Consider the following 12,095-nt stretch of genomic DNA (forward strand, 5'->3'; position numbering starts at 1 on the left):
AGAGGAAAAAAGAGGAGGACATTTGGGGCAAGGATAAAAATACATGTGGAAATCAAGAATTCTGTTTAAGTCTGAGATACCTAGTAAAGAAATGGCTATATGAATCTGAATTTCTGGGACAGTGTCAGACTAGAGATGATGATCTGGAACTGTTGGCACATTCATGGATTTTAAAGCTGCATTTTGAGAGTGGGGAATATCTAGATGGTTGGAGGCAGTATCATGGTGTCAAAGAGCTTGGGCTTTGAAGCCAGACTGAAGTGAATTTTGAATCCTCACTTTTTACTTACTAGTAGTGTGGTTATGGGCATGCCACTTTTTGTGCCTTTAGCTCCTTATCTATAAAATGAGAACTATCCCTGGCATTAGTAGTAGTAGAAATTGGAGATGTTAGCACCATTACTCACCTGGTGAAAGCTCCTTGAATTACAGCTGTAGTGCCTGGTAGTAAGTATTGCTAATTTTACAAACCCAAATCCTTGAAATATTAACTCATGCTCCCTCCATACTACCAAGACAAAAGTCTAGACAAATACTTATATACATATAGACCAGGGTGAGGGCAGAGTATAGAAATCTTGCTCCAGGTAGCTACCACAAAATAATGGTTCTGTGCAACTCATTCACATTTGTTTCCTGGCAATTGATAACACTTCAAAACATCTTCAACAGGAAAGAACACATAGGTGGTTGGATAGAGAAACATGATTTTGCAGTCAGACAGAGCAGGGTTTAATTCTCTAGCTTGTCTTGACCTTACCCTTAAGCGTGAATTTAGGTGAGAGGGCTGCAGCAGTGCTGACCTCCCATCTGGAATGACATTGGCGTGAACAGCCCACATTGGCTCCTTCAGGATCCACATATTTAATAAATACATCAACTGGCATCTTTGTCATTATTACTTTAATGCAGCTCATCAGGAACTTAGCATTGAGGAGCCCTTGAATTTGAAGCTTATGGAGCAATTAAACTCCCTCCTGGGAGAATGCAGACCTGGAGACTGTCAGTGCATAGAGATGAGCAATTGTGTCTGTCTCCCTCTTGCCAGAAAAATGGAATGCTCCAAAGTTCATCAAGACCTTATATTGTATTTCAATGAACCATGTGTACCTTGCATACTAGGTAATTAATTTAGAAAACTGCTCATCTCATAAACTCTGGGAACTGGCCTATCTTCTATTAATTTCTTCTAATTAGCTATTATCAGGAAAGCACTGAATGTCTGCCTGATGTGATTCCTACCCACCTGATGGGAACATTCAATGATAATGCTGAACAGATAATTCAAGTGCTGACACGCCCTGTTGTCTGTTGTCTTATCACAGTGCTTTGAGTCAAATACGGCAGATAGCATTATCTTCATCAGATCCTGGACCTCTGAAGATGAGGGGACTTGCCCAAGGCCACAGGGAGGTTTCATTTCTCTGCAAAGCCGGATCACTAAGGGCATGGGCTCTGGAGTTGGGCACATCTACAGTCACATCCCAGCTCTGAGAGTTACTAGCAATGTGGCTGCAGTGCTCCTCTCAGTGCCCCCCTTACCCTCAACACTGTAGGAAGTCCTGCCAACTTCTGACTGCCATCACCTTCATTTATCTGTCTGCCAGAGCCTGCTTTGCCCACTCACCTCCTACCTGCCCCTTTTCCATAGCAGGCAGAAGTGACAGGAAATTAGCACCCCTTAGAAGCAACCTCAACCAAGACTGACTGGAGTTGGTGAAAAATATTCAGCTCCCTCATCCCTCATGCAAGATAATTCTAAGATATGAGTTCTACACTGGCTTCCAGAGTCCCACGAGGATTAAGTTTTGGTCATCGATGATGGTAACTTGCTTGATAATGAACATTTCATTGGCTGCCGTCCCTCCCTTGTCTCATGTTTCTATTTCACTACTAGTTTTTCCTGAGATCTCTTCTTTAACCCCTTGCACTTAAGTCCTTATTCAAGGTCTGCTTCTGGGAACCCAAACTAAGAGAGGGACCTTTGACAAATTATTTAACTTCTCTCTGATCCTCAGTTTTCTAATCCGTAAAAAGAAAATATATATAGTACCACCTCACAGACTTTCAGGGAAGTTTAAAGGAAATACTGCATATAAAGAATTTTGCCCAATTCTATTCATACCAGCATAATTTATAATAGCAAAATGCCGAGATCAGCTCAGTCGGGAAGACCCTAACCCAGCGGCATTAGAGGAATTAAAGACACACACACAGAAATATAGAGGTGTGAAGTGGGAAATCAGGGGTCTTACAGCCTTCAGAGCTGAGAGCCCAGAACAGAGATTTACCCACATATTTATTAACAGCAAACCAGTCATTAGCATTGTTTCTATAGATATTAAATTAACTAAAAGTATCCCTTATGGGAAACGAAGGGATGGGCCAAATTAAAGGAATAGGTTGGGCTGGTTAACTGCAGCAGGAGCATGTCCTTAAGGCACAGATCGCTCAAGCTCTTGTTTGTGGCTTTAAGAATGCCTTTAAGTGGTTTTCCACCCTGGGTGGGCCAGGTGTTCCTTGCCCTCATTCCCGTAAACCCACAACCTTCCAGCGTGGGCGTTAGGGCCATTATGAACATGTTACAGTGCTGCAGAGATTTTGTTTATGGCCAGTTTTGGGGCCAGTTTATGGCCAGATTTTGGGGGGGGGGGGCTACTCCCAACATGTCCCCCTTCTTTGATTTGCAAATCGATAAATGCAAAGGCAGCTTTGTCACGGTGAGCTACTTCTCACAGGAGTCAGGATCCACATCTGCAGACTATACAAAGACAACACAGATTAAAAGCACAATCACCATTGAAATCACAGAACTTCCAAGTGTTTTTATCCATTTTAATGGGTTACTAGCTGCTAAATTGTCTGCAGCTCTTTTAAGCACTCCGGTTCCTGGCATTAAGGTCAGGTGTGCCTGGAATGCTTTAAATATTTGTTCTTTAATTTTGCAATATCCAAAGACAAGTTTGTAGAGTGTCTTTTTAGATGCTTTTTTATTCTTTCCCAAATTTTGATCTTATTAAGAGCATTTAATAGTTTCCACAAATCCTTATGTTAAGCTCCTAGAGTGGGCCATATCATTTGAGGTTGAGGTGCCACTATACCACCATGGTTCCAGATAATAGGAACTTTTGCCATACTTCTTATCATTTCTACCATCTGACTGTTTGGTTCAGATCATCTGAACATGGTGTGACCGTGGCACGCAGACTGAGAGGTGCAATTCAAGCTAAACATCCCCTTAGGGGACCAATCAATGATGATTCCATAGGAATCATTGTGCAGCACCTCTGCCTGTTCCGCAATGCAATCTTCCTGAATGAGTATGTTCATTTTTTCTAACTCGGTCCAATCCTGTTTACAAATAGGTTTTTGAGGGTGGTATGCCTCAATTATAGGAGCAGGTTTATTATAGTAAATACTGAGATCAGAAAGCATGTGTAACTGTGTCACAGAGTGATTGCATCCAGGCATTATTGCCAGCCAAGATTGATAAATATACTCAATAAGTGTAATTGTTCTCTGTGTCAGCCCTTATTGAAGGAATACTCATGGCAGTGGTGATAACCGCTATTATAGTTACCATTAAATTACTCATTGTGACTGGTTGTCCTGCTTTCCTCAGATTTTCTTCTGCCATCTGTGACAGCTTCTTGATCTGTCCCCAGGTGGGTGGCTGTGTTTGACAGGTGTTGCTCATGAGAGTTGGGGTCCTCCTCAGTGTCAGCCTCAACATGGCTGCAACTGAGGGGTCCTCGGGATCCTCCAGGAGTCGCTTCCTTGGCATCTGGCTCATGATAAGGTTTCAGGTGTCTTGATAGTATCCAAATCAGCTGTTGATTTTGGCCTGGAGAAATACAAGCATAACCTCTACCCCAAGTTATTATTTTACCTATTTCCCAACTTTTTGTTATTGGATCTCTCCACCAAATCAGTTTTTCTGTTTCTGTCTTTGCAGCTAGTTTTTGTAGATGCTGTTCAGCTGCTGATAACTTCTGGCCTTTGGGCAGGCTCAGAAAATTTAAAGTTAATAATGCTAGATTTAGTTGTATCTGTGGTGTTCCATATTCTCTGTCTCTCCCTTTCTGCTTTTGCAACTGCTGTTTTAGGGAGAGATTCATTCTTTCCACTATGGCTTGTCCTTGAGAATTGTATGGGATACCAGTAATGTGTTTAATATTCCCCACAGAGAAAAATGTGGCTAGAGCTTGGTTAGTATAGCCTGTGGCATTATCTGTTTTAATAGAAGCCGGAATGCCCATCACCACAAAACACTGCAAAGGTGACATTTAACACAGGCAGAAGACTCTCCTGATTGGCATGTAGTCCAGACACAGTGAGAAAAGGTGTCCACACATACAGGTACATAAGCTAGTCTCCCAAATGAGGGAACATGTGTGACATCCATTTGCCAAAGAGAGTTAGGTTCCAGTCCTCGAGGATTAAATCCTCCTGTAAAAGATGAAGAATGTACCATTTGGCAAGTTGGGCATCACTGGATAATAGCTTTAGCTTCTTTCCAGGTAATGCTGTATCTGCATTGGAGACCAGAGGCATTAACATGGGTTGAATTGTGAAAGTGTCTAGCATTAGATATTGCATTAGCAATTAGGCGATCAGCCATTTGATTTCCTTCAGTCAAAGGTCCTGGAAGAGGAGTATGAGCCCTAATGTGAGTGATGTAAAAAGAGTGCATTCTACTTCTAACTACTGTTTGCAATTGGGTAAATAAAGTCATCAGTTGTTCATCTGTATGAAATCGTAACTGAGCATTTTCAATTAACTGTGTGGAATGAACCACATATGAAGAATTAGAAATCGCATTAATAGGCATATCAAAAGCAGTCAATCCCTCAATTACAGCTACAAGCTCCACTTTTTGAGCTGAGGGTGTCTGGAAAACTTTACCTTTCAATCCAAAATAAGAAGCTTTACCATTACTAGACCCATCTGTAAAAACATTCTCAGCACCTTCAATTGGTTTAAATTTAGTAATTTTGGGGAGAATCCAATTAGTTAATTTCAAAAACTGAAACAGCTTCATTTTAGGAAAATGATTATTGAGACTACCCACAAAGTCAGTTAAATGGGTTTGCCAAGTAAGACTATTTACAAAACTTGCTGTATTTGTGCCTTCGTGAGAGGGACAATAATTTTTCCAGGATCATATCCATGTTATTTAACAATCCAAGTTCTCCCAATCCCTATCATAATAGCGATTTGATTTAAATGAGTTAGAGTCCGTGAATTAGTATGTGGAAGAAAAAGCCACTCTATTAAGTCCTGTTCTTGGACAATAACACCAGTAGGTGAATGCTGAGTTGAAAAAATCCGCAAATCTAGAGTCTTCTCTGGATCTATTCTATTTATTCAAGCTTTATGGACTTGCTTCTCAATCACTTGTAACTCTGCCTCAGCCTCCTTTGTTAATTGCCAAGGGCTAGTGACACTAGGATTTCCTCTAAGGATAGCAAACAGATTACTCATGGCATAGGTAGGAATGCCTAGAGCAGGTTGTATCCAGTTAATATCCCCTAGTAATTTTTGAAAGTCATTTAATGTTTTTAGTTGATCCCCACGTATGGTTACTTTCTGTGGCACAATGGTAGTGTCATTTACTAAGTTCCCCAAGTAGGAGTAAGGAGTAGTAGTCTGAATTTTGTCAGGAGCTATAATTAAACCAGCACGAGAAATCAAATTTTACAAGTGATCATAACATTAGAGTAATATTTCTCGAGTGGGGGCAGCACAAAGTATATCATCCATATAGTGAATAATGTGACACTGAAAATTTTCTACGAGTAGGTTCAATTGCTTGCCCCACATACGTCTGGCAAATTATGGGACTGTTTAACATGCCCTGTGGCAACACTTTCCAATGATAATGCTTAGCAGGCTGCAGGTTGTTTACTGCAGGAATTGTAAATGCAAACTGTTCACAGTCTTGCTTAGCTAAAGGGAAAGTAAAGAAACAGTCTTTTAAATCTATGACTATTAAAGGCCAATTTTTTGGAATTATAGCAGGAGAAGGCAATCCTGGCTGTAATGCTCCCATAGGTTGTATAACTGATTGATGGCTCTTAAGTCAGTTAACATTCTCCATTTACCTGATTTTTTCTTAATTACGAAAACTGGAGAATGCCAAGGGGAAAATGTTGGAGCTATGTGCCCATTTTCTAATTGTTCAGTAACTAATTTCTCTAAAGCCTCCAGTTTATCTTTACTTAGCAGCCATTGTTCTATCCAAATTGGCTTATCTGTTAACCATTTTAAAGGTATAGGTTCTGGACGCTTAACAATGGCTGCCATCAAAAATTATATCCTAATCTTTGGCGGGAAATTTGACTTTCCACTTGAAGTGGTTCTTTCAAACCTTGCAAATTTTTTTCTAGTCCCATAACAGGGACATATCTCATTTCATGCATCATATGTTTACTTTGAGGGCTATATAATTGTTCTGCAATTAGAACTTGTGCTGACATTGTTGTAATAAATCTCTTCCCCATAAATTTATAGGTACAGAAGTTATAATTGGTTGAATGGTCCCAGATTGTCCATCGGGCCCTTCACAATGCAAAATATAACTACTTTGATATACTTCAGAGGCTTTACCAACTCCAACTATGTTAAATTGAGCGGGTTGAACTGGCCACGTGGATGGCCAGTGCTGTAGAGAAATGAGGGAAATGTCCGCTCCTGTATCTACCAAACCTTTAAATTTCTTTCCCTGAATAGTTATTTCACAGGTAGGGCATTTATCAGTAATTTGATTTACCCAATAAGCTGCTTTGCCTTGTTTATTTGTGCTTCCAAATCCTCCTGTTCATTTAATTCCACTTTTTCCCATTCCCACATACGGCACAATCAGGAGCTATGCTATGCACTCTCCTGGCTCTGCTTTCCAGGGAACAGAAGTAGATATGACAATTTGAATTTCCCCATTGTAATCTGAACCAATGACTCCTGTATGTATTTGTACGCCTTTTAAACTTAAACTAGACTTTCCTAAAAGTAATCCTATTGTCCCCACTGGCAAGGGTCCACAGACTCCTGTTGGGACCTTTTGCGAGGGTTCCCCAGGCAGAAGGCTCATAGCTTTTGTGCAGCATAAATCTACTGTGGCACTACTGGCTGTGGTGGGGGACAGACATTGTACAGGGGTGAGGGAATGGCCTGAGCTGGAAACGCCCCAGTTTAGAATGGGGCCCGGGACAGGCCCCTCATGGCATTTCCCGAAATCAGGTTCCCTTCTTTATCAAACTTAGAGTGACGCTGATTAGCCCAACGTTTTCCTTTTTTACATTTTGGACATATTTCAGGCTCAACAGTTTTCTTTTTTCCCCTATCTGGCGGCCTGACTCGCTGATTTTTTCTACATTCTTTTTTAGTATGACCACGCTTCCCACAGTTAAAACAAGCTCCAGGAAATGGAGTATTTCCTTTATCCACTCTCAGTCCTGCCATTGCCATTGCCAACAAGGTAGCTTTACGCAGATTACCTCTGACACCATCACAGGCCTTGATATAATAAACTAAATGTGATTTCCCTCTGATAGGTCGCAGAGCAGCCTGGCAATCAGGACTAGCATTGTCAAAAGCTAATAACTGCAACACTGTATCCTGAGCAGCCGAACCTGCAATCACCTTTTTAAGAGACTCCTGTAACCGAGCTATAAAATCAACCTATGGTTCCCTTGGTCCCTGCTCTATAGCACCAAAGGAAGGGTATTGCTCCCCACCTGAAGTGATTTTTTCCCAAGCTCTAATGCACACTCCTCTAAGCTGTTCTATGGCATCATCCTGCATGACCAGTTGTGCATCTAAACCAGCCCAGCCGCCAACCCCCGAAAGTTGGTCTGCAGTTATGTTAATTTGAGGTTGGACCTGGGCATTGCGAGCAGCCTGAATGGAAGCTTCATCTGCCCACCAAGTTTTAAATTGTAAGAACTGAGCAGGAGTTACATAAGCTCAAGTAAGAGCGTCCCAGTCAGTAGGAATCATCCGACTGGAAACAGCAACATTTTTTAACAGTCCCATTGCAAAAGGAGAACCTGGTCCATATTGATTAATAGCTTGTTTAAATTCTTTGAGTAATTTAAAAGGAAAAGGCTCAAATGTAGCTGTAATATTTCCCTGTTGATCTGGGGGGTGTATTCTAACAGGGAACTGCGAAGCCTTTAAATCACCCTCTTGTCTAGCTTGCTGAATTCCTGCCTGAATAGAACTAAAAGTGATTGCTTGAGGCGCTGCTCGAACAGTCACTGGGGCAACTACTTTTTGACCAGTGTCCTCCAGAAAAGAATGATCTGGAGGGTCTTTTCCTTTAAAATAATAATGAGGGGGTGCAGAAGGGTAGGGATGAACCTCTCCTTCCTTTGCTGCTTTAGCTGGCAAATAAACCTGTAACCTCTTCTGTTCTTCGCTATACTCTTCTTCCTCCTCATCATCAGTGTGAAAAAGTTCCAAGGTGAAATGAACCAGACCCCACACTTGTCCCATTGTTACTCTGATGATTTCGAACTCCCCTTCTTACTCACCATGGGGATTGCTTTAAGAGTACTCGGGTGTCCTCCAGCTTAGTTCCATGTTTTCCAACCGTTGCTCTGGCGACCCTTCGACCTGGATTCGAGCCCCCACGATGGACGCTACTTGCCAAGACCAGCTCTGTTGGGGAGACCCTAACCCAGTGGTGCTAGAGGAATTAAAGACACACACACAGAAATATAGAGGTGTGAAGTGGGAAATCAGGGGTCTCACAGCCTTCAGAGCTGAGAGCCCCGAACAGAGATTTACCCACATATTTATTAACAGCAAACCAGTCATTAGCATTGTTTCTATAGACATTAAATTAACTAAAAGTATCCCTTATGGGAAACGAAGGGATGGGCCAAATTAAAGGAATAGGCTGGGCTGGTTAACTGCAGCAGGAGCACGTCCTTAAGGCACAGATCGCTCAAGCTCTTGTTTGTGGCTTAAGAATGCCTTTAAGTGGTTTTCCGCCTTGGGCGGGCCAGGTGTTGCTTGCCCTCATTCCCGTAAACCCACAACCTTTCAGAGTGGGTGTTAGGGCCATTATGAACATGTTACAGTGCTGCAGAGATGTTGTTTATGGCCAGTTTAGGGGCCAGTTTATGGACAGATTTTGGGGGACCTGCTCCCAACACAAAAATGAAAAATGGCCTAAATATCCAACAAAAGGGAAATGGGTAAACAAATTATGTTTTAGCCATATAATATAATATTAATCAGTAAAAATTAATTTTTTCAAAGAATATTCAATGGCATGGAGAAATGTACATGAGAATTCTACATTACACAATTCAGCTGGGGACCCCAATGACAAAAAGTATCTAAAACTGTAAATATACAATTACTTCAATATTGTTAAAAATATACTAAAAATATATAAAAATTTATCTCTTTTGGTGGTGATGGGTTATTTTCTTTATGCTTTTTCCTATTTTTCAAATTTCAAAAGTTTCCAAATAAATAGCATTAAGTTTATAATAAAAAAGGAAATGTTACTTGTAGAAATTGGTCTTCAAGATTTTAACTATAAGTAAAAAAAGGTATCTAAAAACAAAATATACATAAAATCTCAAATATTTTGTTTTTATTTTCCTTTTTCCTGGTCAATTGCACTAATTGTTGAAAGGAAATTCAGCTTTCATGCAATATCAGAGTTAATAGTAAGTAAGGGCAAGGCTTTGCAAAGTTTTAGGAGTGTCTAAATCTGAGGTTCTTTGAGTCCCACCTTCAGGCTTCTGGCCTTCCTGGGAGCTTCTTTTTTCTGATCCCAGTTCAGCTACTCCTCTGGCTCCCATTTGTAGTGTTGATTCCAAGCTGGAGCGCCAGGTCAGACCAAGTCAGTCAATAGGCCCAGCACTGATAGGTCCTTGACCCGGGTCACTTGATCCAATCCTAGATTCATTTCTTCTGAGGGCTTCTTGACTTACCTGCCCATGCCCCATGTTGATTACCCTATACATCAAAGTCCATCTGCATCCAACCTCTTCCAACCTCCATTCACCAACCCCCATTTGTACACAGAAATGATTCTTACAAAGGAGAAGCTTCATCTGCACATCCATATGCCCATCCATCCATCTATCCATTACTTCCCTCAGCAAATAATCACTGGGTACTTAACTCTGTGCAGGCACTATGCTGGATTATTGGGATGGAGAGTTGACTCCGACACTGTTTCTACCAAATTTCCCAGCCATGGAATAGAAAAGACAAGGCGCTCATGCTCACTGACCTTTCCAAGCCCAAGCCAAAAAATGAGAAGTGGCCTAAATATCCAAAAAAAGGGAAATGGGTAACCAAATTATGTTTTATCTGTAAAACTCATGTAGAGCAGACACTTGTGCTGCCTGCCCCCCACATCTCAGCCCACCTGACTTGTGCTGCGTGCCCCACATCTCAGCCCACTGACTTAGTGCAGTGCGATGGACAGTTCCATGCACCTGGTCTGCATCCCTCATCAAGTGGATCTCAGCTGCCTCAGGGATCAGCCTTGCAGAAGAGCAAGGGGGAATTCACACCCAAAGGGGCAATCCTCAACTCTGAGGAGAGTCTTTAAATCATTGCTTAGAAAGTCCTGAGAGGGATCGAGGCCCCTTTCCCCTTAGTGATAATTAGCTCTTTAACACACCCTTCCTGTTTTTTCTCTCTGTTGGTCTCTCTTTTGCCTCTCCATTACCTCTGCTTCTTGGTATCACCTGGCATATAAACTACTCGCTGTCAGTTCCTTGTTGCAGTCTCTGCTTTTGGAAGAACCCAAACTAAGATACCATGGTAAACCTTACTAAGGAATGAATGAATGCTGATATTATAGTGAGAAGAGAGAAGACAGTCTTGGACGCGGACAAATGACCACCTGATGTTGGTAAAGACCCTGTTACATTATTAGTCAGTTATAATGAGGGGCCACATTACCCATTTATAATGTATGTCAGGGTGTTGGTTTGACTGACTTAGAAATACTAAGCGTAAGAGTAATGTGGATGTGACTGAGAACAATACCTACCCTCTGTGGGACACTTTCATTTGGTCTTTATTTATATCTTCTCATCATCCACCCTTCACAACCTTCCTGTAACCCAGACATTAATTAATCTCATTTTTAAAGTGAGTAAACAGGTTCACAGGGATGGCTCAAGGCCACATCGTGGCAGAGCAGGACTCTAAGTTTGATCTGTCAGACATCAGATTCCAGACTCTTGTGCCCACATCTCTGCATGAGTCTATTACAACATCCAGTCAGAAGCCCAGTTCTCCAGCTGCTTGACAAGCAACTTATAATGCACACACTTGAAATCAGGGTATGCTGTCTCACAAGGTCTAGGTCAGCCATAGCAGGCCTGTGCAGGGAAGGCATAGTAAATAAGACACGGTCTATTTATTACTCACTGTTAATCAACACTTAAGATAAAACACTGCTTTATTTATTCTCTTTGGCAGCTCAAGTGTGCTCCATGGTGCCTACTGCACGGTGATGTTAATTAGGTCCTCAGTACTGCATCTCTTGTATGCAAGGTTCGTGGTGTCACCAGCTCGTCTCACCTCTCCAGAGGTCTCTGGTTCAGCATTAAGTCTGAGGACAGAAAGAATCTTTGGAAGGCGGGAATCACCACCAGAGTTGCTGAACTAAGTATGAAACTTCACTACCATACAAAAATTAGCTGGGCATGGTGGAGTGCACCTGTAATCCCAGCTACTCAGGAGGCTGAGGCAGAAGAATCGCTTGAACCTGGGAGACAGAGGTTGCAGTGAGCCGAGATCGTGCCACTGCGCTCCAGCCTGGGCGACAGGGCAAGACTCCATCTCAAAAAAAAAAAAAAAAGAAAGAAACTTCACTACCTAGTCCTCATTAGGGTTTAGCAACCTGACATGCATACTGGGGTCAGTGTGAGATCATTTTTAGGGTAGGCAAGTGGGTTGAAGGGGGTGTTCCTAGAGACCCAAAATGGCAGAACTGGAGGAGCCCTTAGTGATCACCTACTTCAACAGATTCCATTTTGTAGATGGGAAAACTGAGGCTTAGAGAGGGAGAGTGACTTTTCTAAAGTTATATAAATGCTGGGAACATATTG

The 12,095-nt window shown here is 41.8% G+C and overlaps 1 protein-coding gene across 1 annotated transcript in view; it reads right to left on the minus strand.

Annotated features, from left to right (window-relative positions):
- Window positions 1-11,414: 11,414 nt before the first annotated feature.
- Window positions 11,415-12,095, minus strand: part of AGBL4 (AGBL carboxypeptidase 4) — a 1,501,444-nt gene continuing 1,500,763 nt past the window's right edge. The window contains exon 13 of the mRNA XM_017002595.3: window positions 11,415-11,596. Within this exon, the coding sequence (XP_016858084.1) occupies window positions 11,485-11,596 (112 nt within the window). The 3' untranslated portion in view covers window positions 11,415-11,484. The remainder of the gene's footprint in view (window positions 11,597-12,095) is intronic.

The sequence above is a fragment of the Homo sapiens genome, chromosome 1, assembly GCF_000001405.40.
Source record: "Homo sapiens chromosome 1, GRCh38.p14 Primary Assembly".
Taxonomy (NCBI): domain Eukaryota; kingdom Metazoa; phylum Chordata; class Mammalia; order Primates; family Hominidae; genus Homo; species Homo sapiens.